At 52.5% G+C, this 27,436-nt stretch overlaps 1 protein-coding gene and 1 long non-coding RNA gene across 26 annotated transcripts in view, besides 2 other annotated features; one reads left to right on the top strand and one right to left on the bottom strand.

Moving 5' to 3' along the window:
• Window positions 1-3,196, bottom strand: part of LOC105371046 (uncharacterized) — a 29,802-nt gene extending 26,606 nt beyond the window's left edge. Inside the window, exon 1 of the long non-coding RNA NR_135176.1 lies at window positions 3,138-3,196. This is a non-coding gene — a long non-coding RNA (uncharacterized LOC105371046). The remainder of the gene's footprint in view (window positions 1-3,137) is intronic.
• Window positions 1-27,436, top strand: part of IFT140 (intraflagellar transport 140) — a 101,646-nt gene that overhangs the window by 28,350 nt on the left and 45,860 nt on the right. For 23 of the 25 annotated variants that reach the window (NM_014714.4, XM_006720990.4, XM_047434969.1 and 20 more), the window contains 8 exons: window positions 337-409; window positions 2,873-2,964; window positions 12,189-12,316; window positions 15,389-15,506; window positions 17,432-17,562; window positions 19,561-19,726; window positions 21,607-21,738; window positions 25,589-25,788. In NM_014714.4, coding sequence (NP_055529.2) covers window positions 337-409; window positions 2,873-2,964; window positions 12,189-12,316; window positions 15,389-15,506; window positions 17,432-17,562; window positions 19,561-19,726; window positions 21,607-21,738; window positions 25,589-25,788 — 1,040 coding nt within the window. Of the gene's footprint in view, window positions 1-336; window positions 410-2,872; window positions 2,965-12,188; window positions 12,317-15,388; window positions 15,507-17,431; window positions 17,563-19,560; window positions 19,727-21,606; window positions 21,739-25,588; window positions 25,789-27,436 lie in introns of those variants that run through there. The other 2 variants (XM_047434970.1, XM_047434971.1) reach the window with 2 other exon arrangements.
• Window positions 21,309-21,918: an enhancer, noted in NCBI's record as "H3K4me1 hESC enhancer chr16:1611806-1612415 (GRCh37/hg19 assembly coordinates)". NCBI's record gives its function as "activates a minimal SCP1, AML or CMV promoter by ChIP-STARR-seq in naive H9 embryonic stem cells {active_cell/tissue: H9 hESC(naive)}" and the evidence as "EXISTENCE:reporter gene assay evidence [ECO:0000049][PMID:30033119]".
• Window positions 23,885-24,070: a silencer, noted in NCBI's record as "fragment chr16:1609654-1609839 (GRCh37/hg19 assembly coordinates)". NCBI's record gives its function as "represses an EF-1alpha promoter that drives an FKBP-Casp9 reporter gene in an ReSE screen in K562 erythroleukemia cells {active_cell/tissue: K562}" and the evidence as "EXISTENCE:reporter gene assay evidence [ECO:0000049][PMID:32094911]".

Below are 27,436 nucleotides of genomic sequence, written 5' to 3'. Positions count from 1 at the left end.
ATGTACCCTTATAAATTAAAAAAAATGTCAGTTAAACAATAAATTTAAAAAGTAAATAAAGGAAAGAGAGGGATACTTTCTTTGCCATTCCCCAAACCTAAAAAAAAAAGAAAAAAAAAAACAGAAAAGAATCATAATAAAACCCATGGATATCTTATATAACACGGAAAACAGCCTCAGCCTGTCCACAGAGGACCCAGTGATCTCATAGTCGTAGGATGATGGAGCAGCAGTGTTCAGAAGTGTTTAGAGGAGGCTTTCGAGGTGTGCAGTGGGGTGTACAGTTGCACCTCACTTTTCCCGCCCTTTGCCTCGAATGTCCGTGGTTCTTTTCAGGATGCTGTCGCAGTCTGGAACGGAAGGCAGGTGGCGATCTTCGAGCTTTCTGGAGCCGCGATACGGAGTGCAGGTGGGTTCTTTTCACCCGGACAGAGGCACTCCCACTACCTGGCTTTATTTCCTCCCTGCCTAATGAGAGGGCCACTGTGGTGCAGTTGAGGGCTGGCACAGGGGCTGGGGAGACCCTTGTGCTACTGCCTGCGCTTCCAGAGCCAGGGCTGCAGCTGTGGCCCCGTGCTGCCAGTGCATCCTGGGGCCTGCTGTGTGGGCGTAAACAACCACCGTGCTTTTGTGGGGTTCCTTCCAGGGAGGAGGTGGCTGCCTCCCATCTTCTGAAATGTTTCCAGACCATGCACAGCAGTGAGACCTGTGGTGTCTTGACCCAAGGCCAGCCTCTGTCTGAAACTTCAAGGTGGCTCCTCAGACATGCTCCGTTAATCTCAAACACCCTTCTAGGTCCCCAAGATCTCTCCAGCTCTCTGCGGTTAGTTTTGCCATTGTTGCCCAGGCTGGAGTGCAGTGGTGCAATCTCACCTCACTGCACCCTCCGCCTCCCGGGCTCAAGCAGTTGTCCTGCCTCAGTCTCCCCAGTAGCTGGGATTACAGGTGCGTGCCACCACACCCGGCTAATTTTTATATTTTAGTAGAGACGGGGTTTCAACATGTTGGCCAGGCTGGTCTCGAACTCCTGACCTCAGGTGATTTGCCTGCCTCGGCCTCCCAAAGTGGTGTGATTACAGGCGTGCGCCTCCGCGCCCGGCCTTGGCCATTGTTTTCTTCCTGCTCTCTTCAGCACATCTATGGGAGTTTCCTGAGGCAGCTGTAGCAAAGGACCACAAACTTGGTGGCTTCAGACAAAGATGTGGGAAATGTATTCTCCCATAGTTCTGGAGGCCAGAGGTCCCAAATCAGTTTCACTTTTCACTGGACAGAAGTGATCGCGTCAGCAGGGCCACGCTTCCTCTGCAGCCCCAGGGGAGAACCCGTTTCAGCTTCTGGTGGCTGCCAGCAGTCTTTGGCTTGTGGTCACAAACCTCCAGTCTCTGTCTCTCTGGTCACATTGCCCCTGGTCTGAAATCTGCCTCCCTCCCTCTTACAGGGACACTCGTGAGTGTATTTAGGGCCTACCTGGATAACTCAGTATAATCTCCCCATCCCAAGACCTTACCATCTTCTGCCATATAAAGTAATATTCACACATGCCAGGGAGCAGGACCTGGCATCTTTAGGGAACCTTTCCCAGCCCATTGCAGTGGCCCCGCCACCAGGATGTGCAGCTCAGCTCCCCCCATTCCACAGTTATCACCTTCACCAACCCTGCCCCTCAGCCGCCTGCCCACACAGGAGGCCGCGTGTCATGCTCTTCCCAGGGCGGTTGCCCCCTCGTGTGTTTGAACGCCCCCACCTCTTCAGGCACATCCATCACTAGTTTCCGCCTCTCCCTCAGATCTTTCCCACATTTTTTTTTCTCTGCTAACACTTTGTTGCTTAAAGTTCTCTCATAACATTTTTCACACTCTGTCCAGGATTGTACCGACACTTCACATCCCCTCTCCTCCCCTCCCCTCCACTCCCATCCCCTCCACTCCCCTCCCCTCCCCTCCGCTCCCCTCCCCTCCCCACCCCCCGCTCCCCTCCCCTCCCCCGCTCCTCCCCTCCCCTCTCCTCTGTAGACTCCCTAGGAGCAAGGGTGAACTTCTTATTTCCCCCAGTAGAACCAACACAGCAGGTGCTGGGATATTTTTTGTTTTGTGTATATTATCATCTCCCTAACTAGATTCTTTCTGAGACAGTCTTGCTGTGTCACCCAGGCTGGAGTGCAGTGGTGTGATGGCGGCTCACTGCAGCCTCCATCTCCTGGGCTCAAGCGATTCTCATGCCTCAGCCTCCCAAGTAGGTGGGATTACAGGCATGCACCACAACACCTGGCCAATTTTTGTATTTTTAGTAGAGACAACATTCCACGATGTTGGCCAGGCTGGTTTCAAACTCCTGACCTCATGTGATCCACCTGCTTCAGCCTCCCTAAATGCTGGGATTACAGGTGTGAGCCACCAGGCCCGCCTCTAGATTCTTATCTATTATGTTGCTGCAAAAGTAATTGTGGTTGATGGCAAAAACTGCTTTTGCACCAACCCTAATAGTTAGGTCCAGGGACCAGGGCTTGTGGCCACCAGAGTTCCACCTAAAATGAGCAAACATTTGCTTAACTGGGTGTGTTGTCATAGATGCTGTGCTGCTGGGAGCACCAGCTGCCAGATGGGAGGGGTGAAGGGCAGGGAGCCCAGAGCCCAGCATGGAGTCTCCACATCAGCCCAGGACCCGCACGCACTGCCACTGCTAGCCGTGGCCACGACAGTTCCCTGTGCCTCAGAGCCTCATTTTCTTCATCTGCGAGGTGCAGATAGTGCACCCCTATGAAGCTGTGGTGAGGCTGAGATTAATTAGGGATCGTGTGTGGGAATGCTCCTGAAACTCCCAGCAAGTCTGGCGGATGAGCGGCCGCCATCCTGATGTTCGTCTTTCATTTTAGGGACCTTCTTGTGTGAGACGCCTGTGTTAGCAATGCATGAAGAAAACGTTTACACGGTGGAGTCAAACCGAGTTCAAGTTCGAACCTGGCAGGTAAGTTGCTGCTCCACTGCAAGAAAACCAGAGCAGAGTTTGAAATCCTGCCTCTCAATTGAGACAAAGCCTGTTTATTGATTTCACCTAAGGTTATTAGTCCTTTCTCACACTGTGTAAAGAACTACCTGAGACCGGGTAATTTATAAAGAAAAGAGGCTTTGTTGACTCACATTACTGCAGGCTTTACAGGAAGCATGACTGCGGAGGCCTCAGGAAACTTACAATCCTGGTGGGAGGCGAATGGGAAGCAGGCACATCCTACATAGCCGGAGCAGGAGGAAGAGAGAGCGAAGCGGGAGGGGCCACACTCTAAACAGCCAGATTTCGTCAGATCTCTATCACAGAACACACTAGGAAACTGTGAGAAACCACCCCCATGATCCAGTCGCCTCCCCCCAGGCCCCACCTCCAACATTGGAGATTACAATTCATCGTGAGATTTGGGTGGGGACACAGAACCAAACCATATCACCTCGCTAGATGGGATTTCCCGCGTCAGGTGCTTGATGGTGAAAATGAATCCTAGGACAGCTGTTTAATCTGTGGCTGTCACTTCAGAAATCGGGAGACAAGGCAAGGACCTTTTGCAGTGAAAAGGATGACTTTGCAGGACTTTGAATACACGGGGCTATGAAAAGAAAATAAATCCTTGCTGGGCTTAACGTGCACCCTGACGGCTGGCTGGGTGGCTCCAGTTCAGGACATAATGTCCTTAGCCAGGCTGTCTCCCGCATGTGTCTTGTGGGAGGGCCAGGGCGACCTCTAAGAGGTTCTCTTTTTTTTTTTTTTTTTGAGATGGAGTCTTGCTTTGTCGCCCAGGCTGGAGTACAGTGGCGTGATCTCAGCTCGCTGCAATCTCCGCCTCCCAGGTACAAGCGATTCTCCTGCCTCAGCCTCCTGAGTAGCTAGGACTACAGGTGTGCGCCACCACACCCAACTAATTTTGTATTTTTGGTAGAAACAGGGTTTCACCATGTTGGCCAGGCTGATCTCGAACTCCTGACCTCGTGATCTGCCTACCTTGGCCTCCCAAAGTGCTGGGATTACAGGCGTGAGCCACCACGCCTGGCCAGGAGGTTCCCTTCTGAGTAAAGTCAGGCATCCACTGCCCCGTCTGCATCCCACACACACTGGCTGGAACCTGGGGGCAGACACAGTGTGTTGATTTCCTGTGGCTGCCCTAACAAATTACCACAAACCGAGGGGCTTCCGACACAGACATTTTTTCTCTCACAGTTCTGGAAGCCAGAAGTCTGCAATCCAGGTGCTGTCCAGGCTGGTGCCTTCTGGAGGCTCTGAGGGTGAGCCTCCAGCTCTTCCACCTTGCCTCTTCCAGCATGAGGTGGCGCTGGCAGGCTTTGCTGTTCCTTGGCTTGTGCACTTGACCTTGAACCACAAGGTCTGAACTGCAGGGGCCACTTAGATGCACATTTCTTCTGGTTCTGCCACCCCGAGACACCAAGATCAGCAACCTCCTCTGCCTGTTCAGTGTGAAGATGATGAGGATGAAGAGCTCGATAATGACCCACTTCCACCTCACAAATAGTAAACATATTTTCCCTTCCTTACGATTTTCTTAATAACATTTTCCTTTTCTGGGTGACTTTATTGTGAGAAAAACAGTATATGATACATACAACATATACATATGTGTCAATCAACTGCTTACGTTATTGGTAAGTCTTGTTGTCAACAATAGGCTGTTACTAGTTAACGTTTTGGGGAAGTCAAAAGTTATATAAAGGCCGAGCGCTGTAACTCACATCTGTAATCTGAGCACTTTGGGGAGGGCGAGGTGGGAGGACCACTTGAACCCAGCGGTTTGAAACCAGCCTGGGCCGCATATTGAGACCCATCTGTTAAAGAACAAAAAAAAATTGGCTGAGTGTGGTGGCGCACGCCTATAGTGCCAGCTACTCAGGAGACTGAGGCAGGAGGGTGGCTTGAGCCTGGGCAGTCAAGGCTTCGGTAAGCTATGATTGCACCACTGTCCTCCAGCCTGGGCAACGGAGCCCAGCTAATGTTTGTATTTCTTTTTAGTAGAGACGGGGTTTCACCACATTGGCTAGGCTGGTCTTGAACTCCTGACCTCGTGATCCACCCACCTTTGCCTCCCAAAGTGCTGGGATTACAGGCGTGAGCCACCACGCCCGGCCATGTCTTTTTTTTTTTTTTTTAAGGGACAGGATCTCACTATGTCACCCAGGCTGGACTTGAACTCCTGGCTCCAGTGATTGTCCTGCCTTAGCCCTGCAAGCATCTGGGACTACAGGTCTGAGTGGACATATCTTTGGGAGGGGCACCATTCAGCCCACTGTGTGCAGCAAGGTTCTGTGACCAGGTTGAGAGCTTTTGTCACGAGCCTGATTTTAGCTATCGTTGTGATTTTTATCCATCTCCAAGTTCCTTCTTGGGACCCAGCGTCTGATTGCCTGGGGCGGCCACATTCCTGTCCTTGTACCTTACATGGTGCTTGTGTGCTCCCATCATGGATTGTCAATTCTCGTTGGCATCCAGACGGGAGACAAGTCAGCGATAAGTGCCAAGGAGAAGACGGAAGCGGGTGGGCCCCTCTGTGTAGGACTTCTGTCTGAATCAGGTGGAGGGAAGACATGGGGAGGAGCCGCATGGCTGCAGTGCCAGCTGGGAGAGAAGTACGGGCAGAGGGAGCTGCCGCGACCACATGTTTTCCTGCAGCCTGTTGGGTGCGAGGGGAGGCAGTAAAGCTGGAAGGGAGTAGTTGAGAGCCTTCTGGGCATCCCAAGCCCAGAGCAAGCACACTTGTTGCTGCCATCCCTGCCCACCCCTCCGTCTTTTTACCTATGCCTCTCTGACTCCTCCCATTGCATGTGGGCATCTGTTGTGGACATAAAGGGAGGTACAGCAAGGCTTTTTTTTTTAAGTTGGGGTTCTGCTTTTTTTACCCAGGCTGGAGTGCAGTGGCACAATCTCAGCTCACTGCAACCTCCGCCTCTGGGACTCGAGCAATTCTCCTGCCTCAGCCTCCCTAGTAGCTGGGATTACAGGTGCCCGCCACCACGCCCGGCTAATTTTTTGTATTTTTGGTAGAGACGGGATTTCACCATGTTGGCCAGCCTAGTCTCGAACTCCTGACCTCAGGTGATCCACCTGCCTCAGCCTCCCAAAGTGCCGGCCCGGCCAGGCTGTGTTCTTAAGGACAGATGAGGGGCAGCTGCTTAGACGACCCTTGAACAATGCAGGGGTAGGGGCGCCAACCACCTGAGCAGTTGAAAATCCCCATATAACTGTTGACTCTGCCAGAATTGCAGTACTCGCAGCCTACCATTGACTGGAAGCCTCACCAACAACATGAACAGTCGATTAACACATATTTCATATGTTCTATGTATTACATAGTGCATTCTTACAGTAAAGTAAGCTAGAGGAAAGAAAATGCTACTAAGAAATCATGAGGAAGAGAAATACATTCATAGTACTGTACTGTGTTTATCGATACCCTAAGTCTATAGGATGAATCATCTTTCTGAAATGGTGGCATCCACAGGTGGCGTCCACATCTGCAGACCTGAATCTACTGTCCATATCAAGCAATTCCACGTTTTCTTGTAATGTCACGGCTTTCCCTTGCTTCTCGGGAGCACTTCCAGCATCACTAGTGGCATGTCACATGGGTCCCCCTGGGGTTATTCACCTTTTACAGTATTGCACGAAATGCATGAAAAATCCTCTAGAACCGTGAGAGGTCACTTTTTAATGTGATGTGCATTTTGCTGGAGAGAGGAGCTGCCCACTCGGAGGTGATTAGCACTGCACAACATTTTAAGGGGATCTTCGAAACACTTGAGTGAAACTGAGCACAGTGGCAACAGGAGGCAGCTGTGAAATGCCGACAGGAGCACGATGTGGGCCACAGCTCCCTGTCTGCAGTTATGATTGCAGATCGCATCTTTCTGTTGGTTTACACTTCGCTCAGCTGCACATAGTGCCATCTCTGGAAGCATGTGCACATTTGTGTATACTTTATGGACGTGGCTGATAAAAGACTAGTATCTACCTATATTTTATGCATACGCGACATACCTGTTAATTTTTTTGTTCTTTCTAGGCTACATAGTTTGTCTGAGTTTTTTCAAATTGTTACAAATCTCCAAAAAAAAGTCAAAATTTGTTTTTTTTTTTTTTGAGACGAAGTTTCCCTCTGTCACCCAGGCTGGAGTGGAGTGGTGCGATCTCGGCTCACTGCAAGCTCCGCCTCCTGGGTTCACGCCATTCTCTTGCTTCAGCCTCCCGAGTAGCTGGGACTACAGGCGCCCACCACCACGCCCAGCTATTTTTTTTGTATTTTTAGTAGAGACAGGGTTTCACCGTGTTAGCCAGGATGGTCTCGATCTCTTGACCTCATGATCTGCCCGCCTCGGCCTCCCAAAGTGCTAGGATTACAATCATGAGCCACTGCACCCGGCCATACTTTTTTTTTTTTTTTTTTTAAAGACAGAGTCTCACTCTGTTGCCCAGTCTAGAGTGCAGTGGCATGATCTCGGCTCACTGCAACCTCCACCTCCCAGGTTCAAGCAGTTCTCCTTTCTCAGCCTCCCGAGTAGCTGGGATTACAGGCATGTGCCACCACACCTGGCTAGTTTTTGTATTTTTAGTAGAGATGGGGTTTCACCATATTGGTCAGACTGGTCTCAAACTTCTGACCTCAGGTGATCCACCCGCCTCAGTCTCCCAAAGTGCTGGGATTACAGGTGTGAGCCACTGCGCCTGGCCTTTAAATATCTTTATTGAAAAAAGAAGTTCATGTAAGTGGGCCCTTGAAAATCAGACCTGTGTTGTTCAAGACCTGTGTTTGCCAAGAAAAGACCTCCAGAGGTGGGGCTGTGCAGGCACCAGTGGCCTGCAGGGAGAGGGCCAGTGGCATGATGGGAAAGGGTGAATGGGCTTCTGGGAGAGGGCCAGTGGCATGATGGGAAAGAGTGAATGGCCTGCTAGGAGAGGGTCAGTGGTGTGATGGGAAAGGGTGAATGGCCTGCTGGGAGAGGCCAGTGGCATGATGGGAAAGGGTGAATGGCCTGCTGGGAGAACACTAGTGGCATGATGGGAAATAACAGTGGGCCCACTGAGAAGTCCTACTTGTAGAGCTTGGGAAGATACCTAACAACAGTTGCCATGGAGTTGGGTCCTTTTATTCCTCTGTTAATTTTTTATTTTATTTTATTTTCAGAAACAGGGTCTCACTTTGTTGCCCAGGCTGCACTGCAGTGGCAATCATAGCTCACTGCAGTCTTGACCTCCTGGGCTCAAGCGATCCTCCCACCTCAGCCTCCTGAGCGTGGGACCATAGGTATGCACCACCATGCCTGGCTACTTTTTTATTTTCATTTTTATTTATTTTTTTACAGATAAGATCTCATCCTGTCGCCCAGGCTAGAGTGCAGTGGTGCCATCATAGCTCACTGCAGCCTCAAACTCCTGGGGTCAATTCATCCTCCTGCCTCAGCCTCCCAAGTAGCTGGGACCACAGGTGCCAATCACCATGCCTGGCTAATTTTGTTATTATTATTATTATATTTTTGTAGACATGGGGTCTCACTATGTTGCCCAGGCTGGTCTTGAACCAAGCTGAAGTGACCCTCCTGCCTCAGCCTCCCAAAGTGTTGGGATTAGAGGTGTGAGCCACCATGCCTGGCCACTAATTTATTAAGTTACAAAAGGAATACATGTCAGTTGTAACTAGTAAGGTGGCTCTGGCGTGAGTAAGGGTGGGTTAGTGATCCCTCATGACCCTTCTTGGACACCCAGCATGTCCTTCCAGGTCACTATCCCTCCTCAGGATGCAGATGCATGGCTGCTGTTAGTGTTTGTGTCAGGGACGCAGTGACTACAGACACTTAGGAGCTTCCAGTCCTTAAAAGGACAGCTTCCTAGGCCAGAACTTTGGGGCCCCAGCCCTGCGTATGTTTCAGGGAGTCACATCTGCCCCATGGAGAACCTGAGGGAGGGGCCTCCCATGCAAAGGTCAAGTGCCATGGAAGGGGGTGGGATATGGGACCAGTTGGTGGTGGGAGGTGGGAAGGGAGGCAGGAGGGCTGGTCACCCTGAGGGCAGTTGGGGTTGAAGCTAGGAGTGACAGGGTACATTTTGTTGACCAAAAAGAGACTGAAGCACAAAATGTGATTTAAACAGTCTACTTGGCTGGGCATGGTGGCTCATGACGGTAATCCCAGCACTTTGGGAGGCCCAGGTGGGAGGATTGCTTTAGCCCAGGAGTTCCAGACCAGCCTGGGCAACATAGTGAGACCTCGTCTCTGCAAAAAAATACAAAAATATTAGCCAGGCATGGTGGCAAACCTATGGTCCCAGCTACTTGGGAGGCTTAGGTGGGACAATTACCTGAGCCTAGGGAGGTTGAGGTTGTAGTGAGCTGTGGTTGTACAACTACACTCCAGCCTGGGCAACAGAGTGAGACACTGTCTCAAAAATAAATAAGTAATTAAGTGAGTAGTCTACCTGAGCCAGGATAAAGGCAGCTGCCCAGAAAACTCAGCCCCGAGGAACACTGGGCCTGGGCTCCATTTTACGTTTGTTACAGGCAGGTTTTTAAGGCCGAAAAGAGGGACCGGGCACAGGCTAATGTCAGGTTGTTGGTCAGGAATCCTCTTTGGTTGATGGAAATGCCATTGATTAGCAATGGGCTGAGCATTGGTGCAGGTATGGTCTGCGGCAGCTTATCAGGTTAGTTCTCAGCTACCTGTGGCGGCAGCAGGCAGTTTCCAGAGAAGAACACAGCTCAAGGGAGAGCAGGGCGTGGCTGCTGCCTCATTTAAGGTCTCTGGGGGCCTGATCCCTGAAAAGGACTTACCTTCCTCTGATAACAGTTCTTTCCTTTCCCCAATTTTGACTTATTTTCTTGGCTTTGTGTTATTTTCTCCCTAGAAAGTAACTTCTGTGCCAGCGTAGTGGGGAGCCAAGCTTAAGGGTGGAGAAGAGTGAAGTTGTGGGAGACGCCGCAGGAGAGCAGCTCAGCCTGGCCCCAGGCAGCAGCCACCAGCAGAGCTGGAGTGGAGGGGCACTGTGGCTCTTATAAGGGGGGTGACTAGTTGCATGATGGGTGGCTACAGAGAGTATAGAACTGAGGATGTTCTGAGTTTTCTAGCCTGAGAGGTTGGGTTTGTCGTGGCACCTTTAAGACAGGAACTCCAGAGGCAGAGCTGGCATAGGGGGCAGGGCAGGATGCAAGTTCGAGTTCGTGGTGCCTTGGAGAGCCCTTAGGGGTGTCTAAGAGACAGTTGGAAATACAAGCTCTGGAGGTCAGGAGCTGGGTCAGTGCCCTGAAGACAGTACTTTGGGAGTTGGGAATGTATTGACATAGAGATGTTAAAGAATGTAAAAGAGTTGAGCTCAGATCTGAACCCGGGACCCAGCAGGTAAGGGGCAGGGCAGGGAGTGAGCTCACCGAGGAGCCTCCAGTGCTCTCTGTCATCATTAATAGTGTCAGCCCTGGCCCCATCAGCTAGTCCGCTCCCCCTGCTCTTTTTATCCTGTGTTCAAGCAGCCACTTGCTCATTCCATAAGCATTTATTAGGCTCCCACTGGATACATCAAAATGAAGTGAGCTTCCTCAGCTTGGAATACTCCCACCCTGACTCCAGCCATCCGTCCCTCACCCTCAGTTTCCTAAACACACTGTGCAGGCTCCTGCCCCTTTGCTGGCTTTTGGAGTCTGTGTTTAGATTTCCGTGCCCACTAAGTTCTCCTGGAGCTCTGCCCACCTTCCAGCCTGCCTTGCCACTCAGATTCTGTGCAGCTCCCATGCACTAGATCTGTGCCTTCCCTGCTGCCTGTCTTGGCCCCAGGATGCATTCAGCCGTTCGCATCTGACTCGCTGCCCCCACGTGGAGTGCCCTGGGGATGTGCCACTCACTTGTGATGCTCCTCCCCCAACCCACTGCTGGGCAGGGTGTAGGCATTCACTGGGCATTGGTTGAATTGAGCCAAGAGCTTCGCTTTGAAACTCAGAGGATTAAGGTTAGTCCCTAAAAGACACACCACAAAGCATGAGGTCTGCTCCAGCGCAACTGTGGGGTGACTGTGGGGTATATGCTTTCTTTTTTGTTGTTGTTTCTTTGAGATGGAGTCTTGCTCTGTCGCCCAGGCTGGAGTGCAGTGGCATGTTCTCGGCTCACTGCAAGCTCCACCTCCCGGGTCCACACCATTCTCCTGCCTCAGCCTCCCGAGTAGCTGGGACTACAGGCACCCACCGCCACACCCGGCTAATTTTTTGTATTTTTAGTAGAGACGGGGTTTCACCGTGTTAGCCTGGATGGTCTCGATCTCCTGACCTCATGATCCACGCGCCTTGGCCTCCCAAAGTGCTGGGATTACAGGCGTGAGCCACCGCGCCCGGCCTGTGGGGCATGCTTTCTAACGTGCCGACTGTGGGACGTGCTTTCTAACATGCTGGAAAGGCCAAGGTGATGCTTTGAAAATATAAATGATGCGAAATCACTTCCCAGCTCAAAACCCTGCAGTCTTCCAGTTTCACTTAGAAGGAAATCTCACTCTTCCCCTCAGCCTGCAGGAACGCCCCTGTGGCCTCTGCCCACCTGGCTGACTTCTTAAACATTTTACTGAAATACCCACACACTTAGAAAGAGTGGGTGCGTCGTGCCTAAGCGTACGGTGCAGGGGCTTTTCGCGGGTGGGACATTGCCAGCATGTAACTAGCATCCTTCCTCTCCCCCACCGCCTCACCCAGGGTAACCATTCACGTGACACAACGTAACAAGTATTCCTGCGGCTTTCACATGACAGGGCCTCCACAGACAGGGCCCCCCAGAGCTCCCCAGTGGATGGAATTCGCCCTCTCTCCGTGCCTGGCACTTTCCTGAGATCCCATTCTTTACCTACATGGCACTTACTCAGCTGAGATTACATATGTATTTGTTTGTCGACCGCACTGCTGTCTGTTTTCCCCTCTAGACTGGAGGCACCAGAGCTCTCCTGAGGACAGGGCCCCGTCCTTCCCCCGCAGCACTAGAGTCCAGCAGAGTGCTGGGCACACTCTGAGCCGTCAGTAAACACTGAGCGAGTGAATGAGTGGAGTGTACAAGGTTATCTGTGAACAATGTTCAGTAACTCACATGAAATATATCCATTTCTTGTGTGTACAAGGTTATCTGTGAACAATGTTCAGTAACTAACATGAAATATATCCATTTCTTGTTCCTTTTCCTCAGGGGACTGTCAAACAACTCCTCCTTTTCTCGGAGACTGAGGGGAATCCCTGCTTCTTGGACATCTGTGGGAATTTCCTGGTTGTAGGGACAGACTTGGCTCACTTTAAAAGCTTTGATCTTTCCCGAAGGTAAATTTTTTTTCCAAATAGAAGTGTGAACATTTTTTTAGTCAGTCAGGAGACAGTGTGATGGGTAGAAAGTGAGTTAGAAGCCAGAAGACTCCTTAGGTGCCCATTTTAACACCGACATGCCACTTGTGCTCTCGAATGCCTCATGTTGGGGCTCAGTTCCTGGCCTTTGCCTGGTGGTGGAGCCGTGTCGGGGAGAGGAGGCTTGAATAGTTGAAGCACAGGGAGTGGTGAGGGTGGGGAAGCTTCTATATGATGAGTGCATGACATTGTACATTTGTTGGAAATCATAGCGCTTTATGGTGCAAAGTGTGAACCTTAATGTATACAAATGTTTAAAAAATCATTCAGGCTGGGCAGGGTAGCTCACACCTGTATTTCCAGCACTTTGGGAGGCCAAGGCGAGAAGACTGCTTGAGCCCAGGAGTTTGAGACCAACCTGGGCAACATAGCAAAACCCTGTCTCTACAAAAACTTTTAAAAATTAGCTGGGCATGGTGGCACGTACCTGTAGTCCCACCTGCTTGGGAGGCTGAGGTGGGAGGATTGCTTGAGCCTCGGAGATCGAGGTTGCGGTGAGCTGTGGTTGTGCCACTGCACTCCAGCCTGGGCCACAGAGTGAGACCCTGTCTCAAAAAAATCACTTAGAATGTTAGAGGACCCCAGGACGGAACACAGAAGGTAACAAAACAGTCTCACTGTGTTACCAAATGTATGAAACAGCTTCACTAAAGGGTGTGGGGGGAAAGTGCTGACCTAAGTGGCTCTGGGAGTGAGGGGAGGCCCTGGCGAGCACTTAGGCCGAAGGAACTGCACAGGAGCTCGGCTCTCTAGTGGAGAATTCTGCTCCCCACAGGGGTTGGGATGAGCAACGCTGATCCTGTGATGCGTGTGCACTGGAATTGGACAGCTGAGCAAATGGAGGGTAGATGGCAGGAGCCTGGCATCGCGTGGTGGGAGTGGGAGTGGGAGTTACAGATTAGCAAGTGGAGGGACTAGAATAGGCCCTGGGAGAGTGGATCAGAGGTAGAGGTGTCAGCATGAACAAATCCCTGGCTTCATGTAGGTAGGGATGACTCCATACACAGAATCGTAGGTCTGTATCAATGTACCCGTTGGTACACACATATTTCCTCACTCTGTCAGCTGAGAGGGCCTAGAAGCAACAACCCTGTCCCAGCAGGCACACCTGGTGCCCAGACCTTGGTTTCTACCACCATCCTCCAATAAAGGAGCTATGGATCCTTGGAGAGATGCTGACTCTAGGACCAGGACAGGAAATGTACAAATGAGCTGGCAGCATCTGTGCTGCCCGAAAGTGAGGAAGTGCTAAAAACAAAGCAAACCAAAAAACCTCATAAAGATGGCAGGGTGGGGGTCACAGAGACACAGACCCCACCAAAAGAGGTCCTAATAGCCAAAGCTGGAATAATTGGAGCAACAAAATAAATAAAGCAGGCCAGATGCGGTGGCTCATGCCTGTAGTCCCAGCATTTTATTTATTTATTATTTTTTTTTTTTCTGGGTGGCCCATTTCATCCTGCAAGTCCCAGCACATTGGGAGGCCAAGAGAGGTGGATTGCTTAGGCCCAGGAGTTCAAGACCAGCCTGGGCAGCATGGTGAAACCCAATTTCTTAAAAAAAAAAAATTAGCCAGGCATGGTGACTTGCATCTATAGTACCAGTTACTCAGGTGGCTGAGGCAGGAGGATCACTTGAGCCCAGGAGGTCAAGGCTGCAGTGAGCCAAGATCACACCACTGCACTACAGCCTGGGCGACAGAGTGAGAGATCCTGTCTCAGAGAGAGAGAGGGAGAGAGAAAAGGAAGGGGAGGGGAGGGAGAGGAGGGGAGTGGAGGGAAAAGACAAAAAGAGAGAAAGAAAGAAAGAAAAAAGGGAAAGAAGGGAGGGAGGGAGGAGGGAAAGAAGGAAGGAGAGAAGGGAAGGGAGGGGAGGGAAGGGAAGAGGGAGGGAGGGAGGAAGGAAAGAAGCTTGAATTATATACCAAAGTAAAAAAATGACTAGTGTGAGTCCGAATGATATGAGTAAGTCAATAAATAGAGGAGAAGAGACAGGTGTCCCATAGAAAAGAATTCCACGGCCGAGCGCGGTGGCTCACGCCTGTAATCCCAACACTTTGGGAGGCTGAGGCGGGCGGATCACGAGGTCAAGGAGATCGAGACCATCTTGGCTAACACGGTGAAACCCCGTCTCTACTAAAAATACAAAAATAAATTAGCCGGGCGCGGTGGCGGGCGCCTGTAGGCCCAGCTACTCGGGAGGCTGAGGCAGGAGAATGGCGTGAACCCGGGAGGCGGAGCTTGCAGTGAGCCGAGATGGCGCCACTGCACTCCAGCCTGGGCAACAGGGCGAGACTCCGTCTCAAAAAAAAAAAAAAAAAAACAAGCTACCACTACATACTTTGTATTGATTATGTCAGCAACAAACTAGAAACAGCTAAATGTCACTGGCAGGGGACGAGTTAAATAGCTCAGTGTGTCCCTATGACGGGAAACTGTGCAGCTGTCACAGCGGGCGATGAAGCAGTCCCCACGTGCTACGAAAAATCGCGGAAACAGAGCATAAGGCACAAACTCCAGGTATAGAACGGCGTACAGCAGCGTTGTTTTGTTTTTTTTCGTTTTTTGTTTTTGAGATGGAGTCTCACTCTGTCGCCCAGGCTGGAGTGCAGTGGCATGATCTCGGTTCACTGCAACCTCCGCCTCCTGGCTTCAACCCTCAAATAATCTGCCTGCCTCACCCTCCCAAAGTGCTGGGATTACAGGTGTGAGCCACCACGCCTGGCCTAGAACAGCATTTTTAATAAGCTACTTGAACAAGAGGAAGGGGACGAAGCACTCATATTCGTCCTTGTTCGTAAGAGTACCTGAGGTGGAAGAACTCACCCTGTGTTTTGCGTTTGCCCCACCTCATGGTGCACACGCGCCACCCAGGGTGAGAAGCAGCCTAAGAGCTGTGCAGCACTCATCCGGTGAACAGAGGTTTCAGGGTGGGCGGAGAATTGGGAACTGGGCCTCTGGCGGGCACTGAGGTCCCTCTTCCTCCCTGCAGAGAGGCCAAAGCACACTGTAGCTGCAGGAGCCTGGCGGAGCTGGTCCCTGGGGTGGGGGGCATCGCTTCTCTGCGGTGCAGCAGCAGCGGGAGCACCATCAGCATCCTCCCCAGCAAGGTGAGGCCACCCCTCGTCCACTCGCCCACTCCGCCTCCTCACCTCTGTCCTCCCAGGCCAGGCCTCCTGCCTGCTCGTGCCTCTCTCCTCCTGTGCAAGTCTTCCTGTCCTGTGTTCTGTTCAGCCCCACTCTCCTTCCCCTCGTCTCCCCGGGTCTCTCCCTCCCACCTTCTCCGGGAACCTCCCCAGCATGGTCCTCACCCAGCCTCTGTTCCTCCCCGACCTGCCATCTTCTGTCCCCTGCCTTTCTCCAAGTCCTCCTTCATCGAAACAGTCGATTCCTTGTTGGAGAGTTGCTCGCTTCCTCTTCATCCCTGCCTTCTTCATCCCACTCAGTTTTCTTTGGCACGCGAGGAGGCACAGGACTGTTGGAGAGCCCTCAGGCGTCCCACTCAGAGAGGCAGGGTGATGTTGGTGTGCAGAGGGCCAGCGGCAGCCACATGGAAGGGTCTGGCAGGGGTGGCAGGGCATGGCAGCGCTGTTTGGAGCCGGTTGGTTCCTTCCCTGGTTCCTTCCCTTCCGCTGGTGCGGGTTCCCTTGTTCATTCGCTTGTTCAAGGGCCGTGACTGATCTCCTGCCGTGGGCCAGACGCTGTGCTAGGCACCACGGACACAGAGGTGCTCAGGTGAGCACAAGGACCCCGCCCACTGCCTGTGGATGAGCAGGGAAGGAGGCACGTGTGCTTGGAGGGTGTGGAACTGCACAGCACTGCGCTGCTGTGGAGCTCCGGCCAGGCCTGCTGAGGGGGTGACAGCCCAGCCAAGGTTGGGGCGAGAGTGAGCGGGTGAGGACTGGTGGGGACAGCAGAGGGCAGAGGGCAGAGGCCGGCATTGGCAAAGCCTGTCCTCATCGAGGGTCTGCACTCGTGGTGAAGGGCAGGGCCAAGGCTGATGCAGGTGGGACTTTCACCTCAGGGCAGAAGGATGAGGATAATGTCAATATCATCTTTCTAGAGGGTTCTTTCTAGAAGATGAATCAAAGGGTCGGTGGGTGCAGATGCCTACTTGGTCCCCGTGGCAGCCACTGGAGGGCTCGAGCAGCTGCAGTGGGGCTTGACGATGGACTGGCGGAGGGGTAGGGCAGGACAGGGCTGCAGAAGGTGTTTCTAACCTTTGCAGCCAGGTGGGAAAGGAAACTGGGTGAGGAGATGTTTGCTGCAAAGGTGGATGAGCAGAAGGGCAGGTGCCTGGGAGGCAGCCAGTGGGCAGTCCCACACCTGGTCAGAAGGGAGGGCCAGGGCTGCAGGCGGAGCTCAAGGGACAGGCGAGAGGATGTCCCCAAGGAGGAAAAACAGTGGCCACTGTGGCCCTGAGAACCCAGATGGGGCCTGGGAAGCCAGGTGAGCAGGTGCCGCCAGGGAGGTGGGGCCACTGGGAGAAGGAGGCAGCCAGGAGCCTCAAAAAGGTCGAGGGTGCATTCTGAGGGGTTAACACTGACGGGAAGACCCAAAAGAGAGAGAAAGCACAGGGTCCCGGAGGTGCCATGGGGGAGAACACGGGGCTGGGAGGAGGCAGGGGCTGGCAGAAGGGGCCTACTTGACCATGGCAGAAGGAAGCAGTGGAAAAGTTCAGCTGTAATAAAGGAGTTTCAGCTGAGAACGGTTATCCCGCACCTGCAATCCCAGCTGCTGGGGAGGCTGAGGTGGGAGGATCACCTGAGCCCGGGAGGCGGAGGCTGCAGTGAGCTAAGATCGCACCACTGCACTCCATCCTGGGCAACAGAGCGAGACCCTGTCTCAAAAAACACCAAAACCAACAAATTATGAATATTGAAAGCATGCTAGTCCTTGGAAGATGAGTGGCCTGTGGACTTGGTGACACTGGGTGTGTTTCTCTTGACATGTGCTGTGTCAGTCCCCTAGCACAGCCCACCAACCCGCTGGTCTGGGCAGGCTCCGTGAGCTTTCTGGTTTTCTCTTCTCCTAGGCTGACAACAGCCCTGATTCCAAAATCTGCTTCTACGATGTTGAAATGGACACAGTGACCGTCTTTGACTTCAAGACTGGACAAATTGATCGGAGAGAGACGCTGTCCTTTAATGAGCAAGAGACTAATAAGTAAGATTGTGGTTCAGGAGGATTTTGTTGGAAAAAATGATGTTCAGTTACTTCTCGGCTTCTGGGCGGGTTGTTGCTAAGTTAACGCGCCTTCAAAAGGCCCCAGCAGGCACCAGTAGGAAAAAGAAAGAGGAAAACAGAAGCACACTCTGGCAGTGGGTAGATTGGAGTTCTTAGTCTCTGTCCTTCAGGTGGAAGGTTCTGGAGTTAGCTGAGTGGAAACTGGAACTTCTGGAAGGGTTCTGGCCGGGAATCTGTAGAAGTGGCCCATGAGTCACTGCAGGGAGAGAAATGTGGTGACCTCAGACCCATCCGCGTCTCTCATGTAGGGGGGCATTTGCCTGTTTAAAGAATGTACTTCTGGGGAGAACAATCGTCTGTCTTCACTATATCTGGAGTTCCTTCTGTGACTGAATGGGCATTTGGAGAACTTTGAGTGCTGATGATAGTTCACTCACAGTTCATGGCTGATTCTGCACAAAGTGAAGCACAAAAGCAAAGTGGGCCACGGAGCTGAGCCCGCCCAGCCTGCGTGAGCCAGGCCTGCAGGGCAGGAAAGCAGGACGGGCACCCTGGGGCCTGCATATGCTCACAGAGGAGCAGAGCAGTTACAAGGCTGGGCTCGGGGGTGGTTTTCTCTCTTTTTTTTTCCCTCCTCCATTACTTGACCACCATCAGACACACCCCTTCTGTCCAGCCCCCCTGGATTCCCCCTGCCTCTCCCACACACCTTCCGCCTCAGATCCAGTGCTGGAACCTTCTTTCACCTGGTGGCCTCATTTCATCCCTCTGCCAGTGACTTCCTGTGGAACTCTCCATCTTCACAGCTCACCGAGTGCAGGCCCCATTCTCCCACCTCAGACAATGATGCCTGACTTGGCCAAGTGCCAGCTCTCCCCCTGCTGCCACTGTTCTTGGGCCGCTCCTCGAACCCTTCCTCTAGTCCCCACTGCCCGTCACCCAGGTCCGCAGCGTTTCTCATACCAAAATGTCTTTTCATTCATGCTTTTCCCTCTCGACTCTGCGCCTGCCGTGTGTGGCTTCCCCTGGGAGCTGTGGGAGCCTCTGAGTTCCTTTCTGCATTCGAATCTTGCCCCCTGCCTTCTGTCCGTTCCCGTCCCGTACCAGGCCGGTCTCACCTCACGGGAACCAGCTTGTGTCCCCGGGCTCTCTGGGCCTCAGAGCCGCCTTGTCTGGAGCATGGCACTCGCCCCTCTGCCCTGCTTTCTGCTCTGCTCTGCACTGGTGCCGAACGTGGCTGTGAGGGCACCTCCATTGCTGGGTGCAGTGGCTTACTAGGGGATCTTCATGTCCTGCAGCACCGGGTCCTGTCCTTCTTCAGCAGCCATGGGTCGTGCTGCCCGGCAGGGTCCCACTCTGCAGCCTGGGTTCGTGACACCCTGGGGGCGGCGAATGAGGCTCATAGGCCTCCTCACCTTGGGCACCTGCTCTCTCTTGAAACCTTGTGTGTCGTCTGCCGGCACATCATTGTGTTTCCCCACAGCATTTTGTTGAGTTCTGGACCCATCCAACATAGAACTTTAGAGATGGGAGGGACCTGGGTCCAAGGGGCAGCATGGCACAGGGACCGGTGGGGACAAGGAACCCGGCATGACCACAGAGCCAAAGCCTCGACCCCGCCCAGCAGGGGGTGCCATCCCACCTCGAGGTTGGCCTGCTGGTCCTGGAAAAGGAAAAGGGTCCCTTTTGCTTTGGGGATTCTTCTGGGCCCCCATAAGGCCTCCAGAATCAAAGCGTCATCTTTTTGTGGTTCTTTCAAACTGGGCTTTGCTCGGACCCTTAGCCCAGTTGTTAAAATCTGAGAACATGTTCCAGTAGGGCGCATGGCAGTGAGACCCCAAAAGTTCTCCCAGAGCTGAGCGCGTGGACACCATGGTCTGGGACAGCACCTGGAGGCTTCGGGAATGTGTGTGGGAGGGAGACTGGTAGCAGGAGTGCCCGCCCTGGGGTTGAAACGGGTCTTCCTTTGTCTTTTAGGAGCCACCTCTTTGTGGATGAGGGACTGAAAAATTATGTTCCCGTGAACCACTTCTGGGACCAGAGTGAGCCCCGGCTGTTTGTATGCGAAGCCGTGCAGGAGACGCCGCGCTCCCAGCCTCAGTCTGCAAACGGGCAGCCCCAAGATGGGCGCGCTGGCCCTGCGGTACGCTCTGCCTGTTGTATTTGAGTTTAGACACACTCAGTGGCCATTTGACAGACTTAAGATCTTCATGGGCTGGGCACGGTGGCTCACGCCTGTGATCCCGGCACTGTGGGAGGCCAAGGCGGGAGGGAACGCTTGAGCCCAGGAGTTCGAGACCAGCCTGGGCAATATATTGAGACCCTCGTCTCTAAAAAAGAATAATAATAAGAATTAATAAAAAAAATCTTCCTAGCATGGGGTCTGGGAAAGGGGTCCTGAAAATTCGTTCACGTGGAGTAGAGCATCTGCCTCACAGCTCCCACTGATGGCAGCGTCACTGTAACCTCGATGCCACCTCTATGGATTTGCCATTGCTAGGTCTGTTTTGAGCTATGCAGAAAAGCCACGGTGTGTGGTGTCTCCTCTTTGAGGTTTATGCCCATGGGCCAGCTCCACACTTACTGTCTGGTCTGACCTGAATGGCATTTTTTTGGTTCTCTTGTCTCAACTGCTACATGTGATTCTCTCTCTAGGAAAGAAATCTTTTGTTTGTTTGTTTTGTTTGTTTTTTGAGTCTCTCTCTGTCGCCCAGGTTGGAGTGCAGTGGTGCAATCTCAGCTCACTGCAACCTCCGCCTCCCAGGCGGAGTGAGCCGGGATCGCGCCACTGCTCTCCAGCCTGGGCGACAGAGTGAGACTCCGTCTCAAAAGAAAAAAAAAAAGTTATCTGCAGTCAGTGTTGATACCCTGAGTTCAGAAGCAAATCCACCCTTGGTTCTCAGGCGCTGAGCGGGAGGACACGTCCAGGTGGCATCTCCACCACCAGAGCAGGGAGGGGAAGACACTGCCCGAGGCGCCACTTCAAGATACAGGCTGTGGGGGTGACCCAGGCAGTTGGGAGGATGGGCGGGCTGACACCCGGGGAAGATGGAGACGTGGCAGGGAGGTAGGGCCGTCTCCTGGCAGTTTGATCCTAGGGCTCTTTGTCTGCTCTGTGATGATGCGCCCTTGTCTGAACTCACACCAGGTAGCAAGGAAAGGCTTTGCCTTCCCTTCACCTCTTCTGGTTTCCTGTCCAGAGCAGCTGCAGGTATGGGCGCATGTCCTGGTGTTGCTTGTTCTGCTTCTGTGCAATGGACCCACAGAGCATGTGGTTTCTGTGCTGCGTGTTCCCTGTTCCTTGAAAGCAGGGTCGGGGCTCTTTGTTGGTGGTGCCACTGTTGATTTTTTTTTCTTCTTTTATTTTTGAGATGGAGTCCTGCTCTGTCACCCAGGCTGGAGTGCACTGGCATGATCTCAGCTCACTGCAACCTCTGCCTCCCGGGTTCAAGCGATCCTCCTGCCTCAGACTACCAAGTAGCTGGGACTACAAGTGCCTACCACCACGCCTGGCTAATTTTTGTATTTTTAGTAGAGACGGGGTTTCATCACGTTGGCCAGGCTGGTCTCAAACTCCTGACCTCGTGATCCGCCCACCTCAGCCTCCCAAAGTGCTGGGATTACAGGCGTGAGCCACTGTGCGCAGCCTGCTACTGTTGATTTTTAAATCAGAGTAAAGCCGCCAAAGAGGGAGAACTTTTAAACCATGAAAGCTCTTTTGAGTTGCAGTCACCAGTTCAGGGTGGGAATGATGAGCCTTTGCTGCAAGAAAATCAGTCACTTGGGAGAGTCCAGTGGTCGCAAGCTGGACGAGGTGCGTCCTTCCAGTAGGCGTGTTGGTTTTTCCCAAGTGGAGCAGATAAAAGGTGGTGTAATCAAAGCAAAGCACCCGACCCCACCATGACGCAGTGTGTAGCAACGACCCCACCGTGACGCAGTGTGTGTAGCAAAATGGCACTCATACCCCAGAAATTTATGTAAGTTAAAAAAAAAAACAGAACAGTACTTTTCTTTCTCTCCCAGGCAGATGTTTTGATCCTGTCCTTCTTCATTTCCGAAGAGCACGGCTTCCTGCTTCATGAGAGCTTCCCCCGGCCTGCCACCTCCCACAGTCTCCTGGGGATGGAAGTGCCTTATTACTACTTCACAAGAAAGGTACGAAGCCACGACATCCGCACAGGTGTCTTCTGATCTCTCCCCTTGCCTGGCTGGGCTCTTGCAAGCGTCCCAGGGAGCTGAAATGTGAGTTAGCCCTCGTGGCTCTGCCGGGCTTCCCTCTCCGTAGACAGCATCAGCCATCCAGTCTCACTTGTCGCCTGAAATTCCAGCAAACACTGCGGTCTGTCTGGGGAGAATTGGAAGTGGTTTTGCTCTCAGGATAGAGAGAACTCGTGCTAATGAGTGCTGTCTCCGGGTGAAGGAGCTCTCGGGCAGGACTCAGGACTCTGCACCCTTCCCCCTTGCCTTTTCCCCGAATGCTGAACACCTTTTTAGCTTTTCTGTCTTTCTAAAATTCTAGCTGCCTTCTTAAAATTATGCATTTCTATATTCACTGTAGGGATCTTAGGAACTACAAAGAATGAAGTAAAGACCCAAATAGTACAAATCTCCATAATCCCAGCCTGGAGGCAGCCACTGTGGGCAGGCTGGTGGCTCCTTTCAGTAGGGTTCTGGCTTCTGGACACCCGTCCGTGTGTGACTCATGCATGGACGTGTTTTTAAATTACTGAGAGAATGGGATCGTCATCAGTACACACACCCCAGTAGGTTCTTTTGAACAAGTTATTTCCTTCTCTGCGACTTGGTCCCCGTGTCTCCAAGGTCCCTTTTGGACCTGAAACAGTCATTCTCTGCTTCTGAGAGGGCGTGCTGATCAAAGGATCTGCAGCTTCTCTGCAGAACAGCAGCCCATGTGTGCCCCACGAGCATTCTGAGACACGGTGGAGTGCCTGGCTCTGAGAGAGCTGCTCCCCTCGCTTCACTGACCTGTTGTTCTCAGCCTCTGGGAGCATCCCGAGTCACGTGTGGGGATTTTTCAGAGAGGAGCCTGGCTGACCTAAGGCTCAGACTCACGTCCCAGCTGGCGCCGGCCTGTGAGCCCCACAGGGGTTCTGCAGGCGGGAGGCAGGGGGCCACCAGCTTCCACCTTTCGGGACCTAGGATGCCACCAGCTGCTGCTGCTTTTATTTCTGTGAAACATGGAAGCTTCTCTCCTGTTACACACTCCGTCAGCAAACAACACGCACAGAGTCTTCTCTGCCTCTTCCTGTTTACTGTCAAATCAGAGGAAGGACTAAACCCTGTAGACTCGGACCTGGATTGCTTTTGAATTTCCACATGCAGTGGCTTATCGATGTTAAGAATGAACTCTGTACTTTTCTAATTTTCTTCAGTAAGCCTGTGTTACTTTTATAACCCAAGGTGGGTCGAGGGAGCATTTAAACTGGGACAGAGGGAGCGTAGACCCCAGAGGGACATTCCGAGAAGGGGAAGGACAGGCAGCCCTGCATGGCCACAGAAGCCAACACAGATGCTACTGCACCAGCAGCCACCACGGTGGACCGCGGGCGCACCGGCTCCACACACACCCCTGAGCTGGCATTCACCTTCATAGGACCTGGCATAAAGGACACGGTGGTGGTGGGGTGGGGCACTGCCTAACTTGTGACAATGACGTGACCAGGTGTGTGCTGGCCTCTGGTCCTCGGGCTCTGCTGGAACCTTGTGTGCAGTGATGAATTAACAGCATTCACACAAACGCGAACCTGGGTGCGGTTGGCGGCCGTGTTCCTGGTCACCATGTAGAGCCAGGCTGCACAGCCAGCAGAGGCCGGCGTGGTGCTGGTTTATGCGTCACACTGTTCCCTGCGGTGGAGGCAGTCTGGCTTCATGAAGACTGGGAAAGCATCGTGTGATTCGCCAAATGGAGGGCTCCCTGCTCTGTCAATGCATGTTTCCTTAATTCCCGTATTTTAATAGACAAGTGTCACCAGATTGGCGTTCCTCCGAATTTCATGCTGGCTTTACGTTTCTTATGTGCTTTAATTTCTCTTTTATTTCAGAACTCAAAGCATTAACAATGTTTTACATTATTTCTGTTGAGTTTTTCCCCATTAATTTTGCATGGTGGCGTTTGTGTCTTGCACACACTCATGCATCTGTTCTTTTCTCTCTCATTTCTCACCTTCCCGCATGCGTCCACTCCTCATAGTTGTTGTTCCAGAGAGCAGGCGTGTATGACGCAGTCGTAAGTACAGACGCCCAGGTCGTGTGTCATTTGCTTCACCGGGTTGTTTTCCTGAGATCCTTTTCCTCCCTTATTTTCAGTACAATTGTCTGTGCACCGATACTTTCTGCTTACCTTGCATGTTCGCTTTACCGAGGTCTATTGGAAGCCTGAGACACTCAGTGTCAGCTCTCTTTATTTGAGCAGGATGCCTCTCACCTAGCAAAGCTCATCAGGAGCCAGCTGTGGTCATGGCTGGGACATGTGACACAGCAGCTCTTTCCTCTGCTGTGTGGGACACAGGAAGTACTTAGTTTACCTACATTTGCAATAGAGGGAGTTTTCGTAACTCAGCCATTCAAGTCTAGTGAGGACTAGCCATGACGTCTTTTGTCTGTTAACGCTGCCCTTGTTCACATTTTCAAACGGCTCGGCCTAGTTTCTCCGAGGTATGAGGGTGGATCCGGGTCCAGCAGCTCTTAGGACCCTGCCTCTGCACCGTGTGACTGGTCAGCTGTGACGTGGGATAGACAGTCCCTCCCTCACAGAGCTGTGAGCAGGACATGGTGAATGATGAGAATTCCCATTCACACAGCGAACTGGGTACCCATTCTGTCCACACCAAGCTGACATTGTTATCAGAGGTCAGGGCGCTTCCTTGCAGTTTATTAAACCAGAGCAGGCAGGAATTCCCTGTTGTTTTTGTGCGTGTACGTTTTCTGACAGTTTCCACTCAAGGCAGAAGCAGTCCAAACCCTTCAGCACTCAGCACCCTGCAGATGGGCCCCAGTCACATCCGTCCTCAGGCCCTCCACTCCATCGCCTCTCTGCAGGGCCTCGGGGCCTTTGCTTATGCTCTGCACTGTGCCAAGAAGGGCCTCCCCATCACAACTGCGTCTGACAAATCCCCCAGATTTCTTTGAGACCCAGGCCAAGTGCCGTCTCGCCCATGAGGCCTACTCACCGGGGCCGCAAGTCAGTTTCTGCAGGAGCAGTGAGCTGATGGGAGCGCAGCTGGGGAGGCAGGTGGCTGGAGTCACCCTTCAGGAAGTCACAGAATAGCAGATACAAGACCAGGGAAGCCTGACCCCAGAAGGCTGCGTCGTGATCCGTTTCACACGGGGGAGTGCGTGTGCTCTCAGAGAAACGGGATCCAGATGAGGGGCAGGGCTAGAGCCCAGAGAGCGCGTGCAGAGCCCCTGCCCCACGGAGGAAGGGACCCATGATTAAAGAAGAGGCAAGCAGTTGGAGGGGCTCGTGGAGGGCCAGTGGTCCCTCGGGAGCACCGATTTCCAGGAACTGGGTGTAAGAAGATGCCCAGGTGAGGATGGGCCTCCAGCAAGCCATAGCAGTGTGCTCCCACACTGGGCCCACAGCCGCGTCCCTCCCTGTGCCATGCGGGGCCTCACTGCCCAGGCTGAGGGCTCTCCTGAAAAATACCCGTAGAGGGTACACAGCCAATCCAGGTTATTGTTTTGGAAAATTCTACCTGAAATCATGCTCCTGTTACTTAATTTTAAGAGAGTTTAAAAAACAAATTCCTGCACGGGCAGCCTTTGCTTACCCATTATCTGAAGCCAGAGCCAAAAGCTCTGACCATTGCCAGTGACCCTAAAAGTTTTCAGGGCATCTGGCAGGGACTGGGCCTGTTGGTAAATATCTGTCTGTCTGCAGAGGGATTTCTCCCCCATAAGGGAGCTAAATCCAGAGGACGAGGTCTGGGTGAGGGCTTCAGCTTTACATATGAATTAACAAACACATGGGTCCTTTGTCATTTAGCCCGAAGAAGCAGACAGAGAAGACGAGGTGGAGCCTGGGTGCCACCACATCCCTCAGATGGTGTCCAGGAGACCCCTGCGAGACTTTGTGGGGCTGGAGGACTGCGACAAGGCCACCCGGGACGCCATGCTCCACTTCAGCTTCTTTGTCACCATAGGAGACATGGACGAAGCCTTCAAATCCATCAAGCTCATCAAAAGGTGAGGATCCCGACCACTGGGATGTTGGGAGATAGCGCGTGCTCACGGCTCTTTCCTTTCTCCCTGTTTGCCTTCTTGGTTCGCCTGTTGAAATATTTGACTCCTCATGACTGCGTCATGGTGTATTTCATGGTCTTCCCACTCGATGAAATGCTGCCCAGCTTGCAGATGCCACGTGGGAAGCTCTCAGCCTCTCTGGTGCTGGGAGCCTCTCGGGCTGTTTAGCTGCTTCCTAGTGGAAAGTTCTGCCGTTCCTAAACATCTATAATACCCATCCCTCTGGGAATAATTGCTCCTAAACAGAAGTTTGGACAAGTAAACACTAAAAACAGCCAGGTGGAAACACAATTAAAAATGCTCTGAAAGAGGGTATCAATCAAGGGCTGTCTGCAAGCACCTTCTTCTCCATTCCTGAGAGAATCTAGAAATTCTTTCATCTTCACAAGAGCATTTCACAGATTTTAATGTCCAAAGGGTAGAAAATCGAAGAATGAAACTAAAGAGGTAAAAGGAGGGTGTGGCCTTAGGTTGCCGGAGCAAGCCCTCCCTCAACGTGCAGTGATAATGCCTGTCACACAGGTGTCCGAGAGGGTGCAGGACCCCGGCCCGCTGTCGTCCTTCTGAAGCAGCATGGCCAATCCTTCATTCCCCCTGCCGGGCCTTCCACACTAGCTGTGCAGATGAGCTCTTTCCGGTTTGCACATGCACCGGACAGGCTGAGCAGCACCGCCCGGCCCCTCTGGATTACTTTGACTTCATATAAAGGTAGTCGCAGACCATAATTGACCCTGTGGCCAGTTTAAACCTTCAATATGGCCGGGGCACGGTGGCTCACGCCTTTAATCCCAGCACTTTGGGAGGCTGAGGTGGGTGGATCACCTGAGGTCGGGAGTTCGTTCGAGACCAGCCTGACCAACATGGAGAACCGCCCCCCCATCTCTACTAAAAATACAAAAACTAGCCAGGCAGTTGTGGTGCGTTCCTGAAGTCCCAGCTACTCAGAAGGCTGAGGTGGGAGAATTGCTTGAACCCGGGAGGTGGAGGTTGCCGTGAGCCAAGATCACGCCACTGCACTCCAGCCTGGGTGACAGAGTGAGACTCCGTCCAAAAGAAAACAAAACAAAACAAAAAACAATTATTTTCAGCCTGCTCTGGTTTAAAAATTCCTTGTCATAAAAAATAAAAATTCCTTGTCATAAAAAAGTTGAGCAGGGGAAGATGAAAGTCAACTATCCCTGCTAGTGTGTACTGTGGACGTGAATCTGGTATTTCTACGCTGTGTGCTGAGTGTGTCATAGACAGTCAGTCCGTAAATGCTTTCCAGTCTTTAGCAGTTGAAGACCAATTCCTGGAGCAATACGGGCCTCACAATCCAAACTGATCCCCTCAACTCGCTAGAAGGCCAGAAGCAGCCAAACTAAAGATTTATATTAGCAGCGGGTGGCCTGATGGCCCGGCCCCGACCGTACACGTCACAGCAGTTTCTCCTTTTGGCCGATGCCAGCAGGGCATGAGGCCAGGCAGTGCCGCACCCAGGCAGAGGAGGCGCCAGGCCAGGCACCAGGACTGTGGTTGCAGCGCTGGTTGTAGTGTGGCCAGGCAGCCTTGGGTTCTGGGTTCTGGGTGGGGGCATGGGCCGGTTTTGACC

The sequence above is a fragment of the Homo sapiens genome, chromosome 16 (genome assembly GCF_000001405.40).
Source record: "Homo sapiens chromosome 16, GRCh38.p14 Primary Assembly".
In the NCBI taxonomy this organism is placed as follows: domain Eukaryota; kingdom Metazoa; phylum Chordata; class Mammalia; order Primates; family Hominidae; genus Homo; species Homo sapiens.
Note: the sequence above shows the minus strand (reverse complement) of the source record. Positions and strands in the feature narration are given on the sequence as shown.